Source organism: Homo sapiens, chromosome 1 (assembly GCF_000001405.40).
Source record: "Homo sapiens chromosome 1, GRCh38.p14 Primary Assembly".
In the NCBI taxonomy this organism is placed as follows: Eukaryota; Metazoa; Chordata; class Mammalia; order Primates; family Hominidae; genus Homo; species Homo sapiens.
The window spans coordinates 53058781-53086768 of record NC_000001.11 but is presented as its reverse complement, the minus strand read 5'-3'; the positions used below and the strand labels follow the sequence as shown (position 1 = coordinate 53086768).

General features: G+C 55.3%; 1 protein-coding gene and 1 pseudogene across 6 annotated transcripts, besides 3 other annotated features; one reads left to right on the top strand and one right to left on the bottom strand.

The window, feature by feature from the left end:
• PODN (podocan) lies at positions 1275-24556 on the bottom strand. 6 transcript variants are annotated; one of them, NM_001199080.4, is made up of 13 exons: positions 24461-24556; positions 23210-23399; positions 19902-19957; positions 16602-16968; positions 15141-15234; positions 12099-12163; positions 10798-10907; positions 9423-9579; positions 8969-9084; positions 7747-8404; positions 5893-6041; positions 4581-4788; positions 1276-2256 (listed from the first exon to the last, which is right to left on the bottom strand). In NM_001199080.4, the coding sequence occupies exons 4-12, from the start codon at positions 16911-16913 to the stop codon at positions 4608-4610; spliced, it is 1842 nt and encodes a 613-aa protein (NP_001186009.2). In that variant the 5' UTR covers positions 16914-16968; positions 19902-19957; positions 23210-23399; positions 24461-24556; the 3' UTR covers positions 1276-2256; positions 4581-4607. The 6 variants fall into 6 exon arrangements, 5 of the variants coding, with proteins under 5 accessions (XP_005270514.1, NP_001186010.2, NP_714914.3 ...); XM_005270457.4 differs by lacking the exon at positions 19902-19957 and having other exon boundaries at positions 1275-2256; NM_001199081.3 differs by lacking the exon at positions 23210-23399 and having other exon boundaries at positions 1275-2256.
• Positions 4509-5059: an enhancer, noted in NCBI's record as "H3K4me1 hESC enhancer chr1:53547382-53547932 (GRCh37/hg19 assembly coordinates)". NCBI's record gives its function as "activates a minimal SCP1, AML or CMV promoter by ChIP-STARR-seq in naive H9 embryonic stem cells {active_cell/tissue: H9 hESC(naive)}" and the evidence as "EXISTENCE:reporter gene assay evidence [ECO:0000049][PMID:30033119]".
• Positions 5060-5611: an enhancer, noted in NCBI's record as "H3K4me1 hESC enhancer chr1:53546830-53547381 (GRCh37/hg19 assembly coordinates)". NCBI's record gives its function as "activates a minimal SCP1, AML or CMV promoter by ChIP-STARR-seq in naive H9 embryonic stem cells {active_cell/tissue: H9 hESC(naive)}" and the evidence as "EXISTENCE:reporter gene assay evidence [ECO:0000049][PMID:30033119]".
• Positions 13312-13717, top strand: HIGD1AP11 (HIG1 hypoxia inducible domain family member 1A pseudogene 11; annotated as a pseudogene).
• Positions 24391-24578: a silencer, noted in NCBI's record as "fragment chr1:53527863-53528050 (GRCh37/hg19 assembly coordinates)". NCBI's record gives its function as "represses an EF-1alpha promoter that drives an FKBP-Casp9 reporter gene in an ReSE screen in K562 erythroleukemia cells {active_cell/tissue: K562}" and the evidence as "EXISTENCE:reporter gene assay evidence [ECO:0000049][PMID:32094911]".

The window sequence follows — 27988 nt, the reverse complement described above, 5'->3', positions numbered from 1 at the left end:
CAGTCCCCAAAGAAGAAACAGATTTCCTTCCCAGTCTGGCTCCCCGTGGTGAATGCTTTGCTTTAGACAGGGGCGTGCCCAGGGACATTTCCAGATGGTCTCCCTCATTCTCACACCCCAGGCTGCCTCCAGGAGGCCTGCAGGGCACACAGAAGGGCCCTGGCAACACAGCCTGTTCCAGATATGCCTTGGGGAGAAGATACAGCTCTGGGGTCTGGAGGGGCTTGCACCATGATGCCCTTGAAGACACTAAGGCCCAGGGAGGGGACAGGCCTCCCCCAGGTCACTCAGCGTCAAGAGGGCACCTGCTCCCACTGCCCCATTCCTGAACTCCTTCCACCCTCCTCCCAGGGGTGGAGTGTGAGGAGTCTGGGAAGAGCACGACCCCAGGACACCTCCTCCCACTGCAGGGCTGGGGGCTGCAGGCCTCCACGAGAGCATCCTTCCTTCCCTGAGGCCTCCTCACCTGGGAGAGGTCAGATGTCATGCAATCGGTCATCCCACCTTCATGCAGACAAGCTTAGCAGCCCCTTCTAGGTGTCACATCTCTAAGACCCCTTGAGCAATCGAGTCTGTCCCAGCACAAGGCAGGAGTCTGCTCTTTAGTGGACTTGGCAGGAGCATCCTTACACACCTCCAGCAGCAGGGAGGTCACCACTTCCCGAGCATCTCAACCCACAGTGGGGCAGCTCTGCCCATCAGAGGCTCTTCTTAGCTCAGAGCTGGGTACCACCTCCCGGTGGCAGCTCTCCCACTGGGGTGGGAAGCACACTGGGTGCATCTGTTAGCTCTTTCCTGGAAAGGTCTGCGGAGACCTGGGCCCCCAAGTCGGCTCTGCTCCAGCTCCCAGGCCTGCCTCCAGTCCCCTGCTCTCCTCTAGAACCCACTAGTAACACCCTGTCAGTGCAAAGGTGACCCATGACCCTCCAGGTGAGCCCTTAACAGGCCCAAAGCCCATGAGGTCCTTTGCTTGGATGCTCCACCTCTGGGAATGCACAGCAAGCTCACAGGCCGCGTGTGCTGGTTCAGGCCTCACCTACTATTCCCGAGTGGGCCATCTGCACACACCTCAGGCCCCCTCGCCTGAGGCTATGCCCTGTTCTCCCAGGATGCCTGCCTGTGCAGCTACTCTGCGGGCCCCGAGAACTGGACTTTCCACTGATGTCTGCTGTTCTGGCCAGGGCGCTGAGGGGCTTGTATCCTGCCCCCTCCACCCGGCACCAGGCCAGCACCTGGCAGGAAGCAAGCACAGACATAGCCACAGGCTGCAGGGATAGGGATAATGCTTTTATATTAGTTTTTCTATAACAAGAAAAATCAGCTTTGAGATTTTTATCATTTTTTTCCTTAGAAAAGAATAAAAAATAAAGGCACCCGGAACTTCCCCCACAGGCCTGAAGAACAAAGGTGTCTCCTAGGTGCAGCTGGGTCCTTCCTCCCTGGCTCAGCCCAGCCCCATCACCTCTGCTTCACTCCTGCCCCAAGGCCCCAGCAGCACCCAGGGGGCTCTCCCATCCTGCCTCCACTGGGCTTGCCCATTGGAAAAGTGCCTGTGTCCTGCCAGGGCGTGGCAGGGAGGGACTCTTAGCAGAGTGACTGCCCAGCACCTGGAGGAGCAGGGTGGGCCAGGCCAGGCCAGCAGTCCTGAAGGCTCCTGTCCCCATAGGATGGGAAAGGAATAAAAGCCAGCTTTTGTGAGTTCCAGAGGGTGGCAGGCACCTGGCCACAGAGCATGGATACCCTTGTGTCTTCTCCAGGGAACGGACGGACAGATGGACAGGGCAGACGGCGAGCTGCTATGGCTGATTCTGGCTGGGGCAAGAGCTGTCTGTGGCATAGGCTTTGGAGGGCTGTTCGCACATGACTTGTGCATGTGTGTGTGTGTGGTGTGTATGCATACGCATACACATGTCAGCAGGGGGAGGGAATGGGTGCCTGTGTGTGCCAGGGCAGGGGCAGACCCTTCCCTGCATGATTCAGAGGGCGTGGCAGCGGTAGTGGGGGTGTGACAGAGACTGTGGTGGTTTGGAGGGTAGTTGTGTGTGGCTGAGCTGGGTGTTTGAGGGTGTGATGTGTGTGCATGTGTCTGGCCGTGGGACACGCCGTGGGAAGGGGTGGGGATATGAGACTGTGTCAGCCCGTGTCATGTGGGATGCCTCATGTGTGCAGCTGGGTGTGTCTGTGTGAGCACGGCAGAGTGGGGGGCTCACAGCACACAGGCGTGTGCTGCAGAAAAGAGTCCGGCGGTCCATCGTCCTGTGGAACATGTAAGAGAGTCAGGGGCCAGCTCAGGGCAGACCCACCAGCCCAAGCAGCCTGAGGGGACCTGCTGTGGGGAGCCCTGCTGGAGGGGGCTCTGGAAAGGCCAGGCTACTATGAGTAGGGAGGGAGCGTTGGCCCTGGGAGCCCAGAGCCAGCGGGGTGCCAGAAGGCCTTTGGGTCCCACCAGCCACTCCCCAGGGCTTCTCCCAGAGCCCCACTCAACTGACCTGAGATGGGGCAGATTCTCACCCACCCCAGGACTCCACAGCCCCTCATGAGGGCTGTGGTGTCCCCACTGGATGGCCAGTCACCCTGTCACCCACCCCAACTCTGTGTGAGGACAACACCTCAGAGAACCAGCTCTACCTTCATACTCCCGGGCCCTGGGAGCTGGGGAAGGTGACCCCCAAGCTCAGCCTCTTGCCAGCCCCTCCACACTTGCGGATACCCAACTCTGTGCACACTCTTCTCTCACCATCAACTTGCGCCCTTCTCCCAGCTCCCTCTGTCACCCACCCAAGTGGCCCTCAACAGCCCCCTCTGGTTCCTCTTCGTCCCAGGCCCTACTTCAGTCAACACTCAACAGTGGCCCGGCAGCCCCTCCCACGGCTACGTCCTGGCCCTGTGACCCCCAGCCTGGCTCACTCCTCACCAGCTCTCCTCTCTCCTCCGACCACACAGCCGCTCCTGGCTCCTCTCCAATGTCTTTCTCTGAGTCCCTGCCCACCAGCCCTCCTATCTGCACCTCCTTCCCTACCCAACCTGACCCCAGGACCCATGCCTGCAGCCAGCCTCCGGCCAACACACTCCCTTGTTCCTTGCCCTCCTGTCCTGAACTCTTGGCTGAAAAACTCAGCTGTGGGTGGATCCACCTGTCCATTTTCTCCATACCTTTGGTCTGCGGAGAACCTCCCTGCTGCACAGAGAAAACGGAAGACTGGAGGGATCCGGCTGACATGGCTTCACATCTGGCCACCAAGCCACCAATCTGCCTGTGACAGCAGCCACCCTGCCCTTTGTTCCTCCTGCTAAAGCCAGCAACTTCTACCATTCCCACAGGGGCCCTCAAAGCCAGCTCTTTCCTACATCGGTGACTCCCCCTCCAGGCCAGCCTCTTCCCACCAGCACCCAAGCCAGCCCCCTCCTTTAAGAGGGTGCGTGTGGAAGATGCATGTGTGTGTCGGGGCATCTTGCCAGAGCCCCTCACACAGGGCTCCCCTCGAGAGGCCTTTGCTTCCTGTGAGGCTCAGAAAATGAGCGTTTCCTGAACTTCACACTCCATTCCCACCTCTGCCCTCTCTCATCTCTCACAGCCAAACTTCTCAAAAGGCTGGTCTGCAGTGCCTGGACCCACTTCCTTTCCAGCTGCTCTTCTCATCCCAGCTTCCCCTGCTGCTACAAAGTCACAGACAGCCTCCAGGTGGAAAAATCCAGTGGGCGCTCCGCAGTGGTCAGCTCCCTCAGTGCTCAGTTCCCTCAGCCCCTCAGCAGCACTGACACAGCCAAGTCCCCACTTCTAGACAGGCCTGTGCATGCACGCATCATGTGTACATGTGTGCATGCAGGTGTGCATGTAAGGGCCCGTATACGTGGGTACGCATGGGTGTTTTGTGTGCATGTACTCACATGCATGTACACACGTGTGTGCACGTATGTACATAGTCTAGGCATGCAAATGTGTCATGGGGTACAAGCATGTATGTGTGTCTGTGTGCATGTGTGTGGTGTGTGTGTTCTGCCTGTGCATGGTTTGTGGATGTGTGTACATGTTGAGACGTGTGTGCACATGAATGTATGTGTGTTGGTGCATCCGTGTGCATTTGTGTGCATGTGCACATGTAGGTGCCTGTGTTACATACATGTGCAAATGCCCTCTGCCCACGGCAGTCTGGGGTTTTCCTACCTCCTTTCCTAACTGCTCTGTCTCAGTCACCTGCCCCCCTCACTCACTCTCCCATGGCAAGCTTCCCCAGCCCCCTGCAGCTTGAGTGATTGTTTCAAGGCTAACAATGCCTGGATCCCTCTCTCCAGACCAGACCTCACTCCTGAGCCCCGACCCACATGTCCAGTGCCCCCCGGTCACTCCCGTGACAGCACCCTCATGCTGGGTGAGAATCTTCTGGAAGGTGTGGGCCTCCCGTAGGCTTCAACCTTTCACCCACGGCCTGGTACATCCCAAGTGCTCTTATAAATTTGCTAAATGGGTGGATGAAGCAGAGGCGAGAGGGTGAAGAATGGACAGAAAGACCCTCTACCAGGGTCAGGAAGGGGAAAATGCAGGGAGCAGAAGTGAGTGCTGCCCCATACAGGCCACATACCTAGGTCACATCTGCATCACCTTGTCACTATCTTGTTTCCTCTTCCTCCTCCTCCTCCTCTTCCTCCTCCTCCTTTTCCTTCCCCAAGCGGCCACGGTCCTTGGAAATGTCACCAAACTCTAAGTTGCCTTCAATGTCCAAGACCTGCAGGTGCTTCAGCCTCCGGAAGGCACTGTCCACCACGGAGCCCACAGCCAGCTTGTTAAACCTGTGTGAGCATCGAGGCAGTCAATGCCAGGAGCCCAACCCCCAAGGAACCCTCCCTTCCCCCGACTGGCCTCTCCAGAAGGTAACAGGGGAGGGAATGGCCCTCCCGGAAAGTGGTGCAGCAGGCGGGAAAGGCCAGGGGCTGAGAGCGCAGTACATGATGGAAGGTACAGGCCGGTCAGGGCAGCTGCAGCTTGTGGTGGGGCTGGCTCTGGGCCAGTCTCTGCAAAGTGAGGGGTCTCTCTCTGCGCACACTCTCACTGCTATTTTGGAAGCCACAACTTTGGGAGCTGTCTCTATGCCATCCCTGGCATTAACCCCAAGGCCTGAGGCTCCTGGGCTGCGGTAGCCAGGGGTCACCGCAGTGCCTGATGTGGAGTGGCACAAAGGCAAGGCCAGCGCTGAGCCAGGCCAGGGCCACACTCAGGGGTGGAAAGGTGGAGGCTGTGGCTCTGATCTCAGGCCCCTCACTCTCTGTGCTTCAGCTACCCTGCAGATGCCTGAGGCACATGTCAAGCCACCCTGATATCATCGAGCCCAGGGCTTTCTGGGCAACCGAGCTCCTGGGAGCACACTCATCTCTGCCTTGTCTCCTTCTCTCTGATTTGGGGGCAGGGATTGTGGGAAGTGCTGGGAAGAACCACCCTGGCTCTGCTGCATGGAAGCCCCTCATATCCTCAGGGAGCTGCATCCCCCGAATCACTCCAAATCCCCATCTCTTAGCCCCAGAAGCCAGGGAGGGCCTGAACATCTATTCCTGAGTGTGAGGCCCGGACCCAGCCTGGATGGCTGCAGACACAGCAGTCACCTGTGCTCTCAGGGCCTCAGCTCTCTCAGCTGCAAACCAGGAAGATGCTGTCCAGCATCCTTTCTGCCACAGTAACATTCACAACGCCCATGCGCACTGGCTTCTAACGTTTCCAAAGCCCTTTTACAAACCTAGGAACCATATCGGGCCTGGCCAGGACTGTCCCCACCCTTGAGATCTGAGCCGTGGTTACACAGGCAGCAGTGGAGCCAAGCTGTTCCCACGTGCATCAACTGTCCCGTTGGAGCCAGGGTGGGCCCCACGGGGGTGTGTACAGGGCCGCGAGTGGGCTCCTACCTGAGAAAGATCCCCTTGAGGTTGGGCGTGGAGTCGAAGGCATTGGCGGGCACCGCACTAATCTTGTTGTTCTGCAGGTACAGGTACTCAAGTGACTCGGGGAGCCCCTCGGGGATCTCTGTGAGCTGATTCCCGGCGATGTCCAGCAGCTGCAGGGGTGACCAAGGGAGTCAGGGACTCCCACCTGTGCAAAGCACTTAACAGCTTACAAAACTCCCACCAAGCCCCCAGCCTATCTAAATCTAACAATAACCCTGTGTGGAGGAGGGGGGGTGTCTATAATTATCCCCACTTCCCAGATTGGGAAATAGAGGCTCAGAGAGGTTAAGTGATCTTTCCAAGGTCACATAACCTATAAAAGGCTGTAGCCGGGTGTGCCTGACTCCAAACCCTTATTCTAATTGATGAACGTCCTACCCAGCTTCTTGTGCCTTCCCACATAAACCCACAGCCAAGATGTTTGGGTGTCACAGTCCTATCTCCTGACACACTTGTCATTCCCATTAGACTTGGTCATTCCCAAAGATCTCAAATGGGCAGAGCCCAGGGATCCCCCAGACTCTGAATCTCACCCCACTGGCCCTGGATGGGTGCAGTGGGAGCTGCTTGAGTGGGACTGCTCACTTATGGACCTCAGGGGCCACACGTGCAGAGGTCAGGAGCAACGGTGTGAGACCCACAGTGACCCCAGCACAACAGCCAGGCCCCAGGCCATTCTGTCTCAGATCATCACATGCCTGGCATCCAGGGGAGGGCAGTCAGGAAAGTGGGTTCCCACAGGGAGCCGCTGAAGCCACTGGGCAGTGCCTAAACTGGCAGCACCCCACCCTCCCTCCCAGGTTCTCTGATGAGTTTCCTTTTTTTTTTTTTTTTTTTTAATTTGAGACAGCGTCTCACTCTGTCGTCCAGGATTGAGTGCTGTAGCGTGATCATAGCTCACTGCCAGCTCTATCTTCCTTAGGCTCAAGTGATCCTCCCACCTCAGCCCCCCAGGGTGAGATGCATGCCACTGCACGGGGCTAAATTTTTTTAAGTTTATTTTTTTGTAGAGATGAGGTCTCATTATGTTGCCCGGGCAAGCCTCAAACTCCTGGGCTCAAGTGATCCTCCTGCCTCAGCCTCTCTAACTGCTGAGATTCAGGCATGAGCCAGCGTATAGAGTGGATTTCTCTTTCACCCACACTGGTTGAGTTGGGGGTTTTGTTACCAAAGTGAACTATGTGCCCAGGCATCCCTGCCTAATTCTGACCATGTGGTCACAGCAGCCACATCGACTGGCCAGCCTCAGAAAGCATGAGTAGATCCCCACCTCCAGCCCTCTGCAGACTGGTGAGGTGGGCCCACAGCTCAGGCTGTCCCCTCTGCCTCCCATCCCAAAGCCCAGCCTTCTCCACATACCTACTCCTGTGCCTGCAAAGGGGTGAGCTTGACTCTCCCATACATACCACCCGAACTGGCCCCCGGTCCTCCTGAGCCTAGGGCCCCTACCTGCAGCCATGACCTTCCTTACCTCCACAGCCCTTCTCAAACCTGTATCTGCAGGTGATGAGCTCAGCTCGGTCATACCACCTGTACTCTGCCCCTCACTCTTGTACCTGCAGGTGGGCTGGGCTCACCCTGGCATGCCAGCCACACCCTCTGCCTGACCCACCTCCTGCCTCCCCTAAGGCCTAGCTTCGCCTTAGCCAGCATCTCCAGCAGATACCTGAAGGTGAATGAGCTCAGCCTGGCCATACCAGAGGAACCTCCCTCACCACCCAGCCCTTCTCCTCACCCTTCAGACAGGTGGGCTCAGGGCAGCCATGCCAGTACCCCCCTCCATGGGCATGGCTCAGCCCCCTCCCTTCCGCTTACCTGCAGATGGGCGAGGTCCACCCAGGCACGGGGGCCCAGGGCTCGGCTGCGCAGTCGGTTGCTGGTGAGGTACAGCTCACGCAGCTGAGCCATGCCCACCAGCGCCCCTCGTGCCAAGGCAGCCAGCTCATTGCGCTTGACCTTCAGCACATGGACATTTCGAGGCAGCCCAGGTGGCAGCGTGTGCAGCCGGTTGCCCGACAGGTCCAGCGAGCGCAGCAGGCGCAGCTTGCGGAAGGCGTCGCGGTGCACCTGCGGGCTGGTGATGCGGTTGTAGCTGAGGTTGAGCTCCTCCAGGAAGTAGGTGGTGGCAAAGTCTTCGCGGCCAATGCCTGTGATCTGGTTGTGCAGGATCATGAGGGTGCGCACGCGGCGAGGCAGGCCACTGGGCACGCGCTCCAGCGCGTTGTTGTACAGGTGCACCGTGTGCAACCGCTTGAGGCCCTGGAAGGCCAGTGGGTGGATGCCCTGCTCCCGCAGCTGGTTGCTGTGCAGCAGCAGGTACTCCAGGCTGCGGATGGGGGTCAGCACATTCGCGTCCACGCTCCGGATGGCGTTCTTCTCCAAGTGCAGCAGCACCAGGCTGCGCGGCAGCCCAGCTGGGACCCGAGACAGGTTGTTGCTGGACAGATCCAGGTACTCCAGGCTGGAGAGCTTCCTGGGGCAGGGAGGGAATTAGGACGGTTGGCAAGAGCCCACATTGTGCTCGTTTCCACCATGATTCCCAAGAGATGTGGCTGGGGAATTGCCACTAGCTCCTCCCAGCTCTGCTGCTCACTGACTGTGGGCCCTCAGTCCTTGCTCCTTGGGTTGACTCAATGATATTCTGGTGTAGGAAGGATCCGGCATTTTCTGACACACAGGAGTTTACTTGAAGACCACTATTTAACCTTTTGATAGCCTTTTATGGCTACCCTGGTCCCTTAGAAAAATGAAAATGCATTTGCCTTCAGCAAGAATGCCCGAGTCTGTATTTCGCACCAAGAAGCCAGCCTCCACCAACGCTTCTTTGCCTCACTGGAATCTTGGAAGGCCTTACTTCTACATAGTCCTTGTTCCCAGGGACAGAAATGTCAACAGAGGCACAAGGCTTAAAGTTCCTTCTCCAGGGAAGGTGGGCAGGGGACGTGCGTGAGGGGCTGGGCTGGGCTGGATGGTTGGCCCTGAAGGAGCTTCCCGGGCCCCGTGGTCACGCCAAGGACCTGGTGAGACAAGGACTCACCAGAAGGTCTCGTTGTCCAGGCCCTCGTCAGTCAGGTAGTTGTTCTGCAGGTATAGCTCGCGCAGGCTGCTCAGCTCGCTGAAGGCCCCCGGGGGGATCTTCTCCAGCTTGTTGTTCTGGGGGATGGAAGGGAAGGGAGGAGATTGTGAGGGAGGGCCGAGGGCAAGGTCAGGGCCTCGGGATGAGGTGTGGAGAGGAGTCTGGGAAGCCACCAGGAAGGCACCCAGACCTGAAGCAACCCAGGTGTGGGGCCACCAACGCCACACACAACCCACTGGCCAGGTGCCCGGGTTTCTGCCCACTTCTCCACAGTAGACTCCTTGCTGTCAGCCCCGGGGCCCCACTTGGGCAGCACCTGTGGCCATGTGGGCCTGAGCTCTTCCCCTGCAGGCCCCTGCCCCAGTGCCCTGGCTGTGGGGTCTGCTGTGCCCCTCCTTACCCCTCCCCTGCCCACCTTGAGGTGCAGCTTGTACAGGGCAGGCGGCAGGTGCTTGGGCACGTGGCGCAGGAAGTTGCTGGACAGGATGAGGACCTCGACGTTGCTGGAGCCGTTGAACATGTTGTCCGGCAGCCCGGCGTCTGCCAGCTTGTTGTTGTGCAGGTACACAGACCTGGGGGTCAAGGCACAGGTCCTCACCCACCTGGGCTCCCCAGGCCCTGCGCCAGCTCAACTGGTGAGCCTCTAAACCCTTGCCCAGGCTGCTCTCCTTCCATCCAAACTCAAGGGTACAGAGTTAGAAGCACCTCAGATGTTGCCTACACAGCTGACAGAACCAAGGACCAGAAGGGGCCGTGCCCCACCACAGGTGGTCCCATAAGCTAGCGGGAGAAATAGGATTTCCTGACCCCTGGCAGAGGCCCCTCCACGCCTTTCAAGGTCTCAGTTGACCCCTGACCCTTTCAGCCCTGGAGTCCTTGCCTGACTCGCGGCCCCTTCATCCCTGCCTGTCAACCCCACGCAGCCTGGCTCTGAGTTCCTAGGACTTCCTAAACACAGGGCCTATCTCTGCCTGCCTCTTTGGCCCTAGTGCCAGCACAGGGCCTGTCTCAGAGGAGGTGGCCCTCATCCATTCAGCAAATATATAGTTAATATATTATGTAATATAATATATTAAATAGAGATATATGCATATATATATAAAAGGTGTATAAATAAATATATATATGAGATGCCAGAGCTGTTCTAGACTGAGGGCATAACAGTGGACATGACCAATGAGACAGACCCTGCCCTCGTGGACCCAACATACTAGAAGGAGGGAAGACAAGGAACAAGGGTCATCTGTGACAGACACAGCTCAGTTTTGCTGTGTGGCCCGTCTTGAGCCTCTGTCTGTGGGATGGGGCCGTGTACAGTGGTCCTGGGTCCTCAGACAGATGGAGAGAGTCACTGAGATGGCAGACGCAGGGATGGAAGGGCACTGGGGTTGTCCAGCCCCCAAACTGTCCTGGAGGCGGCTCCCCGGCAGCCCCCCACCCCGCCTGCACCACACTGCTCTCTCGCACACCTATGCTGGGGGGCGGTTGCTCCTCCCAATGCAGCTCAGCGAAGGGCAGTTCTGCCTGTTGAAAGATGCTCCCCTTCCCCAGGGGCTGGGAAAGTGGGGACATCCTCACTGGTTCACCACAATTCCTGTAGACAACACTCTCTGTCCTCACCTCCTGGCCCGAGTTGTCCTCCTCTGTTAGGGCCCCTGGGTGTCCCTCCACCACAGCCCTGAGTGCAGGGCCTCCTTCGGGACCTGTCTCTGCCTCACACAGGATGGCAGCCTCCACCTCAGCCCCTCCCCTTGCCCCAGCCCGAGCCCTGACCACCCCCGACCTCTGACCTCAAGTTTGGCTTCTGGCCAAAGGTGAGCCCATAGATCTTGGTGAGATAGTTGGCAGCAAAGTCCACACTGATCAGGGCGTTTGGCAGGAAGCGGGGTGCCAAGGTCAGCTGGGAAGGGAAGAGTTGGGGCCGAAAGAGCAATGGAGGAGCAGAGGCCAGCTGTGGGTCCCACTGCCTGCTGCCCACCGGGGCCCCTTCACTGTGTCTCCCTGCAACCAGGCCATCTTTCTCAAATTGAAACTTGTCCCACCCCCTCTGCAAAAACAAAAACAAAACCTCTCTGGCTGTCCTCAGCACTCAGCTTGGCATTCAAGGCCCTCAGGACTTGTCCCCTGCCCTGCCCGTCCTCCTGGGTTCATCCCGCGTGGATAAGGGGCAGAGGTGGGTGTGGCTTTTACACCTGATCTTAGCCAAAAGACCAAGAAGCGATGGGTGTGACTTCAAGGTTGCTCTGGCTTCTCCAAGAATGGGGGGCAAGTGAGGAGGCAAGCGTCCAGGTGAGGGATGGGGGCCAGTGCGGTAAGAGCTGAGGACCTCAATGGGACTGGACATGGTGAGGAAGCTCAGGGCCCAGAGGCACCATTTGTGGCTTGGACCAGTGGGGCTGTAGGTGGCTGGAGATGCCCCCTTGCAGAGCTGGGATGACAGAGGAGGACTGGGTCTGGGTGCTGTGGGCGGGAAGCTGTAGCTTCCTTCCACTGGATGTCTAGGGGAAATGTCAAGGAGGCAGGCAGACCTTTGAGTCTCAAGTCCAAGGAGCAGAAAGAGTTGGAGACAACCACTGGACATGGCCATGATGCAGATGGGAGACAGAGTCTGGGAGGGCACAGGTCACCTCCAGAGAGTTCAGAGAGAGAAGGGGCTGGGACAGAGCTCTGGAGCACACCAAATATTTTGAACATGAGTACCCTTGTGCCTTCACTCATGACATTCCTTCTACTGCAGTGCCCCCCACCCTGGGGCCCCTGCCTAGAATCCTATTACCCTCCATGCCCCTGCTCAAATACCATCTCCTCCAGGAAGCCCTCCAGGTATGCCTTCCCCAGTGGGGACAAGCTCTTCCCCCTCTACACTCCTGTGGGCCTTGGCTTCTGTCTTCATGACCTGACACACTCTGATGCCCTGAGTTATAGGCATGGGGTCCGTGTCTCCCCCACCCCCGACCCAGGGCCATGTCTGAGCAGCAACAAGGACCCAGCAGGGAGTCCAGAAAGGCCCTGGTGAAAGTTCATGGAACTCAGGGAAGACAATGCCTAGAGGACAGGGCAGCAACCCCCCACCCTGCCTCAAGCCCCTCACCTTGTTATTGGCCAAGTACAGGTAATTGAGGTTGGTCAGATGCTCAAACGCCTTCTCTGGGAGCCCTTCAAAGGACAGGCATCGGTCAGAGCCCTGGATGGAGGAGACGCCACAGGGAAGCACAGCAAGCGCCCACCCTCCTCCCCCACCCGCCTGCCAGGACTAGGGAGGCAGAGGCAGCTCAGATCCCCTCCCAAGCAGTTGGGGGGCCTGCCCAGCCCTGTTCTTTCTCCTTGCTCACATAAGCCCAGGCTCAGAGGAGCAGGCAGTTATTGTCTACTGAGAGACTAACTCCTCGCTCTGAGTGGGGATGACCCCTGAGAGGTCAGGCCAGCAGCAGAGCATCCAGCCTGACCCTGTCCTGCCAGAAAGAAGTCCTCCCCTCCAGGAGAGCCCCAGAAGGTCACAGCCCCATCCACAGGCAGGGGGGCCGGGCCAGGAATGGCTCCACACAGGGTGGGGCTGCGGCTCTGGGCCTCCTCACCACCTGGCTCACCCCTGCTCCATCTGGCAGATGTGTCAGGACTCGGCTGCTACCGGGAGCCCTGCCAGGCTGGCCTCTGACTCTCGTTTCTGGGCTCCAAGACCCCCAGATGCTGGACCTCACCCACATATCTAACAAGAGGGAACAGTTATATAAACTGGCATGTCTCTCCATGGAACACCCTGCTGCCACTATGTAAGATGATGGTCAATGAGAGGCTTTAGCAACACGAGAGAGGCGGCTGAGCCGACGGCTAAGAGAAACAAAGCAGGCTGTGATATCATAGCATGTGTTCAGCCACGAGTTTAAAACACAAAGGAAAAAAGACCACTGGACTGTGGTGCTGGCTGCACCGCTGACTAAAACTCAGCCAATTATACCTTCAAATTGGGTAAATCCTACGGTACATAAATGATACTTCAAGAAAGCTGCTTTTTTAAAAATGGAAACAAATTTACCAAAATGTCAATAGTAGTTAATTCCGAGTGGCAAAATTATGAGAAATTTTCTCTTTCCATTTTATGTTACAAAGTTTCTATCCCAGTCAGATGTTATTTTCGTCATCAGGAAAAAAAAATCTTTTTAAAATGTGAGGACTCTACAACTCTTGGGTTCTAAAGGCCCTCGGAACCGAAGATCCTGTGACAAGGTTCTGGAAGCTCAGCTTCTCTGAAGCCTCTCTCCTGCGCATCCCCCAGGTCTTAGAAACACCCGCCTGGGGTGCACGGGAGGGATCAGAAGCTGGTTGGCGTGTAAGAGGTTTTCTCACTCTAGGGAGATTCTTCAACCAATCACTATGTCAATAGACACAGAGGTTTCCCATTTTTCACATGATGAAGATCAGGGATCCAAACTTCTTCAGAAAGCTAAAGAGGCACCATTTGTCCCATTGGAATGGCAGGCTTTGCAGCCATTGTTGCATAGGGATTACACAAATTGAAGAGCATGGGAAACACGACAATGTCCCTTCATCTGATCCACATGCATGTGGCAGTTCAAGGCTTTGTTATAGGAGCCATGACTGTTGGTATGGGCTAGTCCAGGTATCAGGAATTCTGGGCAAATCCTAAGCCTTAGAAGGAGAGATGCTGTCTTGGTCTTGTTGGAGGAGCTTGCTTTAGTTAGACAGCTTTTTTCACTCTTATTGCCCAGACTGGAGTGCAATGGTGTGATCTCAGCTCACTGCAACCTCCGCCTCCCGGGTTCATGTGATTCTTCTGCCTCAGCCTCCTGAGTAGCTCGGATTACAGGTGCCTGTCAGAACACCGGGATAATTTTTTGTATTTTTAGTAGAGACGGGGTTTTGCCATGTGGGCCAGGCTGGTCTCGAACTCCTGACCTCAGGTGATCCACCTGCCTTGGCCTCCCAAAGTGCTGGGATTACAGGCGTGAACCACCGCGCCCGGCCTAGTTAGACATCTTGAAACATGTCACCTGAATGCGCTTGATGGTGTTGAAATGTCCACCTTCTTAAACTGTTCAGATGAAATTAGTTATAAAGAAGACAGGGACGTCTAGGGAAAATGTCAAGGAGGCAGGCAGACCTTTGAGTCTCAAGTCCAAGGAGTAGAAAGGGTTGGAGACACAAGGATGGGAGGGCACCGGGGTTGTCCAGGCCAACCCTGACGTACTCCCAGTTGCTGCAGAATCTCACATGTTGGATGTTATATAAGGGTCCTATTTGCCCCAGTTAATTTAACTTTTTTCTGCCTGTCTTGTGGACTGGTTGGCTCTTTTAGAACTCTGTCCAAAAGTGCATGGAATATAACTTGTACAGCCTCCCACAACTGATACTATCTACGTGTGTGTTTAAACCAAATTTAGAAAGCTTAAGACAGAGTTGCATAGTAATAGTATTTATTAAAGAATCACAAGTGTAAACATGAAAATAACTTATGGATTCTAGTTTAGTTCTTTCGTAATTGCAGAATTATATTTTTGCTGCTGTTAGAATCATTTTTAAATGTCATCTTGAAATAGAATCCTGTATTTTAACTCATGCAAAGGTAAGTGAATGCTTTAAAACTGTGTGCATTGCTTATTTTTATTTTTTATTTATTTTATTTTATTTTTATTTTATTTTATATTATTTTATTTTTTATTTATTTTATTTTATTTTGCTTATAAACATTCAACTAAACAAATGACCTGTAATGGAATTGATGAATGACTTATGAGCATATGCTGGTTTGGCCAGACAGTATACACAAACTTATATACTACAGAATGTTATTACACTTGTGAAATTCTCTTGTCTAACCTGAATTTACATTCCATGGTGATAACATGGTATATGTATTGTTATTAAAGTAAGTGACTATGTCAAAAAAAAAAAGAAAGAAATATCCGTGTAGTGTTCAGGCAACAATAGGGAGCCCCCTTGCCCGTGTGGAGCTGGTTCTCATGCAGCCCCACTGCTAGCCTGGCCCGGGCCTGCTCTCTTCCATCCACACCCCAAGATCCGCAGGGCCAAGCTCTCCCCCTGGGCACCCAGCATCGTTCAGGCCCCCAAGGCCCCACTTGGTGTCCCTGACCCTGGGCTCTGGGTGGCCCCTCACCTCGGGAAGTCAGGCGGTTGTTTTGCAGGTTCAGCGTCTCCAGCCGGTGCAGCCGGGAGAGCTCCTCAGGGTAGATCTTTTCCAGCTGGTTGTTCTAGGGGGGTAGGGGGCCGCAAGGAAGCAGCATCAGCCTAGTGGGGTGTGCCCTGGACTCCATTCCCTACCCATAGCTCCAGTCCTAGAATCCAGTCCACCTGCTGGGCACCTCCCTTGGAATTCTCCCCCATGGCAGCAGACCCCCGGTGCCAGCTCTGGGCCAGGTCTGCATATGGGCTCTGGGGCACAGCAGTGATCACAACAGGAGTGTGGGTCCTGCCTTCAGGGAGCCCACACATGGACATCTACGGGCAGTTCAAACTCGACATGCTATCTCCTCCAGGCGTGCTCCTGGAGCGTTCCCACCTCGTGACAGGCAACCACAGCTGCTCCCCAAGTCAGAAACCACTTTTCCTTCCCCTCCTTGGCCCTGCAGTCCCCTCTCCACTTAGAATGAATGGAAAGCTGGGGCAGGTACCACCTCCTCCAGAAGCCTTCCTGGGTTGGGCTGGAGCTGAATTAGGAGGTTACTCTGGGCCCCACACACAGTCCTTCCATTTCCATCTGGTGCCTCTGTTTAAGAAGTCTCTGCCTCGCCACTGACTGTAAGCACAGGGCAGGGAACGCCGGGCCCTGCCTCCATGCCCAGCCCCTACACAGGACCAGAGGCCCAGTGCAGGCGCCTGAGAGAGTTGATGTGTGGATGAAAGAGCAAAGGAACCAACAGTAAGAGCTGCCCTCAATGTGGCCCTTTCTCTCAGTGGCTGCCCTGGCCTTGGGCTCCCACAGCCGCCAGCTCAGACCCACCAGTGTGGATGCCAGTAGGCAAGTCACTCTCCCGCACCAGGCCTGATCGCCTCTGGGAACGGGTGCCGCAGCCCCTCCGTCTCCCTAGGGCTGTTGGGCCGCACAAGGCGAGGATGGGTGCATCTGCACTCCAGGGTGCTCCTAGTCTGGACACTGTGTCCCACCTCTCAAGGTTCCAAATTCTAGCCTGCCCCTTGGCTGGAGACAGCACTCCATCCTCCAAGGCTCCAGAGTATTCTGTCAGGTCTACTTTGCTCTGGTTTTCCTGACCGTGTAATGGTGGCTGTGCATTCAGAGGGTCAGCTGCTGGGCAGGTCTGTGTCCATTTTCAGACAGAGCCTGGCTCGACTTACTGGGCCCAGCCTGGACTCTAAGTGAGCAAAGTGGGTTTTATTGTACTATCACAGTGCTCCGTGACTGGGACATCAGGAGAGTGTCACCTGGTGCGGCCAGGGCCCCAGAAATCTGACCTGCCCCAGCACCCTGTGGTTGGGAGTGGAGAGCCGCACATATTGGAGGTTCTGGGTGAACAGTTTGCTTGGAGTGTCAGGGTTCTGGGATGGGAACCAAGGGTGTGTGGGACAGCCCCCGTGACCACAGGTGCAACGCCGACCTCACCTGCAGAGATAGGTGGTTGGTGTGCTCAGGCAGGTCCCCCGGGAACTCACGCAGGTCAATACCGCCACAGTCCACGACGCCCTCCTGGGAACAGGCACAGTCTCGGGGGCAGCTGACCGCGGCTGGGCCAGGCCCGGGCTCCTCAGGGCTCAGTACCAGCACCGGCTCCTCCTCCGCAAATTCGTTCTCTTCGGGGCTCAGGCTGTGGCCGCCACTTCGGCCAAATCCTGGGGCCCTCACGGCAAGCACAGGTCCCAGGTGCAGCTGTGGCGGCAGCAGCAGCAGGAGCAGCAGCACCCGGCTCTGGGCCATGGTGCCTGCAGGGGGTGCCGAGTCAGATGCGCCTGGGCGCCAGGGCTGACGGAACCTGTGAGGTACAGTGGACACAGCTGGGGCCCTCGAAAGTCATGACGGGGCCCTCCCGAGCACAAAGCAGGGCCCACTCTGGACTGTCCTCAGAGCCCAGCCGATGACTGACTGCTGCCCTCCGCACCTGCCCAACCCCCACCAGGCTGCCCTCCAGAGGCGGGGGACGAGGTAAAGCCCTGTCCTCTGGCAGGTCTGCAAAACCTTCTGCAGCCTTCATTCAGCAGGCTTGGCCCTAAGGAGTCTGTACCCCTATTTCCTAGAAGGGGAAGCTGAGACACGACCTGGACTGTGCTGAACCCTTGCTATCCTGGCACTGGCGGTGTGGGAAGACCCCCTGCCTCCTCCAGCAGCCACAGGCCATGGTGAGCCAGCACTGGCAGGGTGCGTCCCGGCTCTCCAGCTCGCCATTCTCAGGCCTTCCTGACTTGGTCCTGACTCTCTTCCAACTGTCCCCTCAACTGCCCCCAGTTCTACAGGACTATTGAATAGCTCCTCCCTCCAGGCCTTTGCACATGCTGTTCCTTCTGCCTAGAGTGCCCTTCCTCTGTCTTGTGCAATCAGCATTTTCTTTTCTGGGAACCAATTCCAGTGCTATGAACATGGGAAGAGGGGGAGCAGCGGGACACTGAGATGCCCCAGGGCTCCCCATGACTGTGTTCACCCAGAGCTTAGCATTAGTTGGGTTGGGTTTTGAATAGCAAAGGTATCTTCTTCCCACAGAGAGCTGTGAGCAACTCTCTGTGTCTGGGTATAGGTCAAGCCCAGAGCCCAGCACAGAGAAAGGATCAGCGACTACAGCTGCTGCTGCCCTCATGGCCTCCCATTCCTGATGTGTATCCCCTCAGCTGCCCTCACCAGGGCCTGATGTGCTCAGTGACCACTGCCACCTGCCAGAGACCACTCCCTGGCATGGCCCCGGGTCCAGCAAGGATGGGGTACAGGGGATGATCTCAGGCCCATAGAGGAAGATGCTGAAAGATGCCATTGTCCCAGCAGTCCCGTGGCGTAGGCTTGGCTCTTGGTGGGTTCCTGGTTTCTGTTTACAGGGACTCAGACATCTCTGGGCTCTGATAAGACATGCTGGTAGCTCAGGTTCACTGACTCTCAGGTCCCACAAATCCCAGTTTGAGTCCCACCTCTGACCTTGCTGAGCCTCAGTTTCGTTGTCTGTACAATGCAGATAATACATCTAAACACACAGCTTCTGTGGAGTAAGATAAGATGCAAAGCACCTGGCTTTTAGGTGATGAGGTGATAAGGTGATGCAATTAGGTGATGAGCTGCTGTCACCACTGCAGCAATGACACACAGCAACATGCTGCACTAAGTGAGCAGCAGGGACAGCGGCAAGGACCTGCTGTGGATGCCTCCAGCACGGGGGACATTCACTCCTGAGCTGAGTGGCCACAAGCACTGGCTCAGGCTGAGCCTCTCTCCCCATCACCAGATCAGAAACCATGACCATAAAGCAGCTAGAAGGGTCTGGCAAGACCCTGGTCCTAGGAGGGTTTTGTAAACTGGGGAGCTTGACAATGATGTTAATGACTGGAGCTAGCGGCCTGAGCTGCAACCTTGGCTCTGGCCTCAGCTCTGGCTCTTATGTGACTACAATCATCTAAACCTCAGCTTTCTCCCCCATCCTTGGGGATGATAACAGCACTGTCCTTATGGGAAGACTGAGAGGGGTCAGTGAAATGCATGTACTGCACATAGTAAGTGCTCAGTAAACGTTAGCTTTTCCTGCCACTAATTGTCTGTTCCATGGGCATGGTCTGCACCCCTGCCACACCACTGCTCACTCCAGAATCCTCTGCTGCTGCTCCTTTTCCTTCCCTTGTCTAGATCTTGTAGATCTTGCTGGGCTTTTTTTTTTTTTTTTTTTTAAGACAAGGCCTCACTCTGTCACCCAGGCTGGAGTGCAGTGGTGCAATCATAGCTCACTGTAACCTTGAGCTCCGGGGCTGAAGTGATCCTCCAGCCTCAGCCTCTCAAGCAACTGGGACTATAGGGGGTCACAACCGTGCCAGCCAAATTTTTAAATTTTGTGTAAAGATGGGGTCTCTCTATGTTGCCCGGGTGGTCTCAAACTCCTGACCTCAAGTGATCCTCACATCTTTGCCTCCCAAAGTGCTGAGATTACAGGCATGAGTCACTTGGCCTGGACCTTCGTTTGGGCTTTCTGACCCAATCCCAGGCCCACCTCCTCCCAGAAGATGTTGCAGACATCGTAGCCGCCTCTGAGTTCCTGCTGCCCTGTGGTGGCTGTGGGAGTTCAGATACCACTTTGTCTCACTTGGTGGTTCACCCAGTTCTCTGAAGTAAGGGCCTATTTGTGCCTGGGCCTGTACTGGGCACTGGGGACACAGGTGAGGTGGAAAAGATCCCTGTCCTCCATCTGGAGGGGACAACAGACCCCGGTACCAATAACCACTGCCCACCCAGACTGGGGGTGAGGGGGCAGCGTAAAAGGGGTCCCAAGGAGTAGGAGGCCCTAGAGGAGACAGGAGGGGTGGCAGCCAGGCTTGCTTGACCCTACAGATCCACATGGTTGATGGAGACTCAGGTCTCAGCCACTGGCCCGGCAGAGAAACAGGGAGCCCGGCACACCTGCAGCTTCCAGGCTCCAGGGATCAGTCGGCAGCAGCAACTGGCTCCCACAGCAGCCCAGCCCTACGCTCACTCCACCACACCCCTGCTGCCCCTGCCCCTGACCCAACATCAGTCTACAGACCATCATTCCCATAGCACATCATAAACTCCACGGCCAGCTCAACAGCCATTAGCCACTTGCCCATCTGACCCCACTGTAGTCCGGGGTTCTAAGAGCGAGAGTGTGGGCACAGGCCCAGGTCCCAAATTCAATCAGGGCAGAAGGCCAAGGAGAAGAATCCAGGGGAAGGAGCTCTGGTCTCACATATCCTGTGCACATACCAGGCAGGCTGTTCTGCCTCCTCGCCTTCCATTTGGTATCTGTAAAAATCTGTAAACTGCATCAATAAAAATATTGAATTTATATTAACATTCTGCACCGTACTGAAAATGTTATCATCACCACTTTACAACTCAGGGAGCTGAGCCCAATGGGGTCAGCCAGTGAACAGCTGTTAAGTGGCAAAGCTGAGCTCCCAGCCCACGTCATATCAACAATGCTACGCTGCTCTCCCCTAGGCCAAGCATGACAGGAAGCAGGGGACCCAGACAGAAGACTCAGCGTGGCTTCTGCCCTTCAGAGGCCCACAGCTGCACCGTTCACTCCATTAGCCACTGGCCACATGTGGCTACTGGGCACTTGAAATGTGGCTGGTCCACATGGAGATGTAAGTGTAAAATGTAGTGTCCATAGATCTCAAAGATGTCGTACAAAAAAATAATGTAGGATACCTTATTAATATTAATATTAATGACATCAAATCCCATTTATTGTTATATTGATTACATGATAATATTTTGAACAGGTTAAATAAATGTTACCAGTTTCATTTTACTTTTTAAAATGTGGCTTCTGACTAGACAAGGTGGCTCATGCCTGTAAATCCCAGTGTGGGAGGCTGAGACAGGTAGATCACTTGAGCCCAGGAGTTTGAGACCAGCCTGGGCAAGATGGCGAAACTTCGTCTCTCTAAAAAATACAAAAAATTAGCCAGGTGAGATAGCATGCACCTGTAGTCTCAGCTACTCAGGAGGCTGAAGTGGGAGGATCACCTGAGCCCAGGAGGTTGAGGCTGCTGTGAGCCGTGATCGCACCCCTACACTCTAGCCTGGGTAACAGAGTGAGACCGTCTCAAAAAAAAAAAAAAAAAAAAGACCTCTAGAAAATTTTGCATTGCATATGTGGCTTGCATTTGTGGCTCACGTTACATTTCTATTGGACAGTGCTGGTCTGCAGCATTATGTATAAGCTGAGTATTATAATCCCATTCTAAGGGATGACTACCAGGCAAAAGGGAAAGGGTCATACAAGCAAGGGGGTCAATGTGTGCAAAGGCCCAGAGGCAAGACAGTTCACACTCACAAGACTGTCAGGTGGGGGATAGGGACTAGGAGTGATACAAAAAGGCACAGTCGCCACAAGCCCAGGCCACAAAGGAGAGACATGAAGGGCAGGTTAGGGAGTGTGGTCCTTATCACTGGAAGACGAGGACCACTGAAAGGCAGGAGCGTGACACAGGCAGGTTTGTGGGTGGACACGAGGGTGCGCAATTGGGACAGGTGAGGGCTAAGGGGCCTGCCCCTGGCAGAGAGAGAGGTGCTGGACTGCAGGAATGGAGGAAGAGGTAAGAAGGACAGACAGGGCTTGGAGAGTGGTCCCTCCAGCTTCGCCAGCCACTCTCAGGGCTGTGAGGCACTGGGAAGGTCCAGCCCTACTACCTGGTTTGCCGTGTGACCTTGGCCATACCACTGACCCATCTGAGTCTAAATTTTCCAACTTTCTTTTTTTTTTTTGAGACAGGGTCTCCCTCTGTTACCCAGGCTGGACTGCAGTAGCACAATCATGGCTCACTGCAGCCTTGGGCTCCTGGGCTCAGGTGATCCTCCCACCTCAGCCTCCCGAGTAGCTGAAACTACAGGCATGTGCCTCCACACCTGGCATCTGGCTAATTTTTTATTTTTAGAAATGGGGTCTCACTATGTTGCCCAGGCTGTTCTTGAACTTCTGGCCTTCTGCCTCGGCCTCCCAAAGTGCTGGGATTACAGGCATGAGCCACTGTACCCAGCCTTGCTCTTCTAAGAATGGAGCAAGATAAGCCCCCCAAGGCCCCTTCTGTGTACCCAGCCATGTGGGAGGTGTGTGGGGAAGAACAGGGGAGCTCCCTGGTCTCCAGGAGTTTCAAGTCCACCTGGTGAGGAACATCTCAAACCCCTGGACAGCGGGGAAGCTCAGCCAGCAGTGAGTGTTTCTCATATGGAGAGCTTTAGAGACAGAAGGGCATGGGTTCCAATTCTGACTGCTGTGTAAGCCTGGATGAGCCACTTTACTGCTCCGAGCCTCTGTTAACTAGTCTAAGAAATGGAGTTGGGAGCTACTTGTGAGAATTAAATGAAATAGCAGTCTCAGCCTGTCACCGCTGGCATCAAATAGGTGTGACATACCAGGGGTTACTGTTACTGAGAAAGTAAGTGGGACCCACTGTCTCCCCTGACCACTACCAGGGAACCAAACCTCAAGGCCCAAAGTGTGAGGTTAAGGTAGGACTAGAAGAAGGAAGGGAAAGGGAGCCCCAAATCAAGAGGCGGATCCTCAGCCCTCAGCACTACCTTCCTTCTCCACTCAAAGTCAGTACAAATCAACTGACCACCTGCTCTGTGCTGGGCCCCAAACAGCTGCATCTTATTGACTCTAATAGAAATCCTGGGACTACATGTTCGTCTTTCTATTCTGCAGATTTGGAGCTCAAGCACAAAGGGCTGGCATTGCTGCCCATCCCTAGAAAGCTCCTGCTGAAATGCCCCTGCTCAGGGAAGCCTCTCCTGCCCCCTTGGCTGGGTTAGGGTGTTTCTGGGTGCTTCCACAGCAACCTTGGCTGGCTTTATCCTTCAAGTCTCAGCTGGGCCTCCCCTGTCTCCCCAAGCATGGAGTGGGGGTGCTGGGGAAATGTTTGCTGAATGAACGACTTTGTGAAAGGCAGAGTTGGAAAAGATCTAAAGATCTGCAGTATGATCTGCTCTGACTCCCCCAGTTTGCAAATTAGTGTGTTAAAGCCAAGGCCAAGAGTAAAATGTGGGTCTTCTGACTCCTGCCCAGAGCCTTGAGTTGGCCTTGAAGACTGAGCGGGAGTTCTCCAAGTGGACGGAGTGGGAGAAACAGCCCTCCAGGCAGAGGTAGAGTGTGATCAAAAGGTAGGGGTGGGGCTAGAGGAGAGGGACGTGTGTTTAAGGAAGGGTCAACAGGGCGGGAGGCCTGGGTGGCCAAGGGCCTCCACCGCCATGCTAGTGTTGGTGATAGGGACTCATTAAGGGTTCCAAGCAGGACACGGCCAGCACTCGCATGTATGACTACACCAAGCCTAAAAGTGCCACCATTAGTAATCCCCTATCCTAGACTCAGACAGAAGGGATAAAGTGTGCTCCCACAGATGACATGAAAACAGTCGTGTGACTCTGACATTTCTTAACTTGCACTCTAGGCTAGAGTAGACTGGGTCTTGGGCCCTAAGAGTGGACATGAGGGAGCAGAACCCCCAGAGCAGTCCCCCCTGGTCTTTCCCAGGGCAGTCCACGGGCTCTTCTGAGTGACCTACCTCGGAATGCTGTGCGCCTGCAGATCAGCCGGCCTCCTTGCTCACCATGAGCCCTCCTGCCTCGCCGCTGCCTTCCCAGTGTGGAAGGTTTCTATATAAAGGAGGGATAGGGGACGGGACCACCCAGGGGCTCTCCCGGTTCACACCAGTGGCGCCTCGTGGAGCAGGGCAGACCACAGCTTCCCCTTCCCTGGCCAGCCGGTAATCGAAGGGCAGACAGGTCAGTAATTCACTCCAAGCGCTGGGTGAGCATCCTCCGCGCCTCCCGGACCAGCTCAGTCAGTGCCGCGCGCACCGGGGCCGGGGTGCTCGCCCCTTGCTGCCGCGCCTGCTCCTCTCCAAAAGGCTGCGGCTGCCTCTCCTAGCCCCAGCCCCCGAGGCTGCCAGGAGCCTCGCAGCCCCGCCACCACCTCCTCTTCCACCTGACGGAGCGTCAGGTATTCCAACGCCAAGATCTCGTCCCCCGCCCCAGGCCGGGCTGTGGCTCGGGGACCTGGAACCTGGGGCTTCTGCCTCATTCGCAGGAAGGCGCGGATCTCGCTCCTCGCGCTTCGCGGACCCCCACCCCTTCCTCCCTCCAGCTGTCCCGGCTGGGAAGCAGCCGCGTAGACAGATAGACGGACTCCAGACCGCCAGCTGAGACCTTTAGCTCAACTAGTGGTTGGCACTAAGCTGGGGCGGCACAGTGGCCGGGGAAGCCGAGCCCCGGAGGGGACCCACCCGGCGTCCGACGCGCCCTGGGGCCAGACCTCTGCCCCTCTCTGGGCCTCAGTTTCTCTATCTATAAAGAGGTGGAGGTTGGAGTCGCTAGGGGGCCTGATGAGTTGACGTGGAAAGACGCGGGGATACTTCGGGCCCAGGCTCTCATGACAGGGGTCCCCGCCCCTACGCAGTTCCACCTGCCCCCCACATTCCCTGTCGCCCGCCGGCGTCCTCCCACTCCAGCCCCCGCCCCCAACCGCCCTCAGATTCTTTCCAGATGTGCGCAGCGGGAGGGGCCTGGGGACGGGGACCAGCCTCTGCTCAGAGAGGAGAAGGCCCCTGCCTGGGTCCTGACTGCGCAGGGGTCGCACTCCAGAGGAGGAGATCTCCGGCCGTGCCCTGGGTGCAGGGTCCTACAGAGGGGGTGAGATGCGGCGGGCCCGCCCCAGGCAGCTGCTGGAGCCATCCGGAGAGGCGGGGACGTCTGAGTGCGCTGCCCGGGCTCAGCCCCCGGCCCCTCGGCCCACCCCGGCTGCCAGCGCCCTGTACCTGCTGCGCCCCGGCGCCGAGCGGCGCCCCACAGGCCGAACGCGCTCCCCCAGTCTCAGCTGCGCTCCGCGGGCTCGGGCTCCTTCCATTCAAGTCAAGCTGGGCGCTCTCCGCGACGCAAGTTTTGTTGTGGGTTTTCTCCTCCCCGCCTCTCTCCCGCCCCCTTCCCCCACTCCCCACCCGCCCCGGGAGCATCTGCTGGACGCCGGCCTCCTTCGGACACAGGCGTAGGGTCCCCCCAGGCGCGGGCAGGAGAAAGCCTGCCCCTCCCCGCTCGGGACTTGGCCGGTTCCCACTTCCCGGGGAGGCAGAGCCGCCGCACCGACCCCTCTCAGCCCCGGCCGCCGCACCACGCCCCCCGAACCCCCACCCGGGAGACCGGGAAGGCGGGCTGTCTGGTCCGCGACGCTTCCTAGTTCCCAGCCTTCCGCACTGGAACTGGACCCCCTTTAGGCCCCGACACCTGAAAGGAGGGCTGGGGAGAGGGGTCCTTCGACCCAGTGCCTCTGAGCTGTATCTTCCTCATTACAGAGGATGTTGCAACCGCTCCAGGCACGAGTACCTTTCCGTTCACTCTCCCACCCTGGGGTCCTGGGCCGTGGCTAATGGGGCCGCCAGCCAAGACCCTGCTGGGCCTCTTCCCGGAAAAGTTCCCCACGCTCCACCCCACCCTCCACTCCCATCCCTGTTGGCCCTGGGCCCACAGCCTGGTGAGCCTTGAAGAATGGTAAATTGGGCCGGAGTCGGGGACATGCAGATCCCAGTCACAGAGAAACAGGGCGGGTGAACAGTGAGACCTCACACCACCATATTGCTCCCAGGAACTGAAAATGTTTCCAAGTAAAGGAGTATTAACTACTACCAGCTGAAGCAACACTGTTTGGCGCCAGGGGCTTCGGCGGTGGAACAGGCAATGCGGCTGGGCTTAGGTGGTACTTGGCACCTCCACTGTGTAGCAAGCCTCCTCCCCTTACCTGCTCTGGCCTGTGGGCAGGGCATCCACAGCTGCCTCACCTGGCTGTCCTCCCACTGAAGAGGGAGAAGGATGCATAAGTCACACGTGGGACCCCTTGCTCAACCTTAACCTGAATGAATGAATGAATGAATGGCCCCTGTAAAGCAGCTCCAGACTTTTCACTGGCTGCCGCCCCCGTGAGGTTATACCATATGCATTATGCTCTGCTTCACAACTCCGCAAAGGAAGAACTGCTGCTGCCCCACTTTATAGAAAAGAGATGGCCTCAGAAAGGATACTTGACTGAGTAAAATGCCCATTCACTGGCAGAGCTGGGGTTTTGACCCCAGGTTTACCCTTCTCCACAGCCCAAGTTCTTCCCATGATGGAAACAGGCAGGTAACTTGAGCAGGCAAATGTAGAGTCTAGATTTGAACCCAGGACTGTCTGTTTCCATTACACCAACAACCCAAGAACTTAGCAAGAATGGGGAGGGAAAATATTTTGCCTTCTTTGGCCTCAAATTCCAGTCCTTTTGGAGCTCAAACTCACAAGAGTTGGTGTGATTCACAGCATTGGACCTGGACCAACAGAGATGCATCTCGTGTCTTCTCCTGAACATTGAGCCTAGATTCAAGTAGAGCTAAAAGGACAGGATTCTACTAGCTTGAATACTCATGGACTAAAAATCTTTTAGGACAATGAGAGCCAGCACATATTGAGTGCCTAATAAATGACAGGCACCATCCTAAATCCTTAAAATATCTTAATCATCCTAGCCCTGTGGGGAAGATATTCTCTATACTTATAACTGCTAAGGCCAAGGTGTTTCAGGGGCCCGCTACACGGCACACCACACACCCAGTACCCACCACCTCCCAGAGAAATAGGCTTTTCTATGGAATGCTGAGCAAATGCCCATGTGTGCTTTGTGGTTGGCTGCTACTATAGATACAAGCTGCAGGAGGAATCACTTTGAGTGTCTCTGGTGGAAAAATGGAGGCAACCTTGGTGCTCTAGAAGCAAATCCTCTTTCAGAAGGATTGTAAAGGCAGAGTTTGAAATTGAGGTTTCCTGAATCTACTTGTGCTGCTTCAATTCCTTCATGCTGCCCCTCAATTTCAGCTCCTGTTTGATATTACTGAAGTACATAGTGTCAAGTACAAGCTTTAAGCTTGGAGCTGGGTTCAAATCCTAGCTAGGTTCAAATGAATATAAAAATAGTACCTACACTTCACAGTATGTCTAAATTGGAGAATGCAAGTACAGAACTTTACATAGTACCTGTCACATGGTAAGTGCTCAGTAAATGGTAGCTATTACTGCAAAACTATCACCCAGACCTGACCAAATAGCCAGGAAACATTATTAAAATAGAAATGACAAGTGGCAAGAATTAAACAGTAACCTCTGTACTGCCCAGGGAAAGTGCCTTCTAATTCAAAACAATAAGAAACAAGAACACTCCAAAGAGGAGGGAGGAAAGACATACATTGATACGGTAGAGAGAGCTAGGAGTAAAGAACAAGAAGGCTCTCAGTGGGGTTTGATGATGAGAAACAGGAGATGAGGAACAATGAGCTCTTGTTATGCCTCATCATCAAAGAAGAAAATAATTCCTCCTACTTTGAGCTGAGGGCTGAGATCTTATTAAGCAGTAGAGTCCCAAATAGCTATGGCAGCAGCTTGATTTTCTGGACATTTAAGGAATCAAATCACATGGTGGTGTTTGGGGTATATGAATTCCATCTGAAGGACCTTGATGAAGGCAAGACTCTCCAGGGAACAAGAAGAGAATAATGAAAAATCTTCAGTCCAAGTCAAGTACACAAGGAGTCTCCTGGGCTGCTATAACATCTCATACAGACTCTTTATTATTGGAACTTTCTTGCTGTTTTTCCTCTTTCTCCCACTGGATTGTGAGTCCTCCAGGGCAAGAATCTCATGTTCTGCAAGCTCTCCTCTCTCACCCTAAAATACCACTGTGATAGGCAGAATACCCCCCAACCCCGCCCCAAAGATATCCACACCTTAATCCCTAAAACCTTTGGATATGTTACATGATGAAAGTGACTTTGCAGATGTAACTAAGGTTACGGACTTCAAAATAGGGAGCATATTCTGGATTACCCTGGTGGGCCTAATCACATGAGCCCTAAAAAACAGAGAACTTTCTCTAGCTGGAGAGAGAGAAGATGAAGCAGAAGAGGAGGTCAGAGAGATTTGAAACATCAGAAGGACTTGACTAGCTTTAAAGATGAAGAGGGTCATAAGCTAGGGAATAAGGCAGCCTCTAGAAAGTGAAACACCCGTAGGCTGCCAGGAATGGTACAGGGACTTCAGTCCTACAGCGGCATGAAACAGAATTCTGCCAGCATCTGAATGAATGTGGGAGCAGAGCCACCTTCTCCCCTGGAGCCTCTAGATAGGAGCCCAGGGCAGCAATACTTTGACTTCAGCCTTGTGAGACCCAGAGCAAAGAAACCAGTCAAACTCAACCAGACTTCTAGGCTACAGAACCGTTAGATAATAAATTTATGATCACTACTTTGTGATCATTTGTTTCATCAACA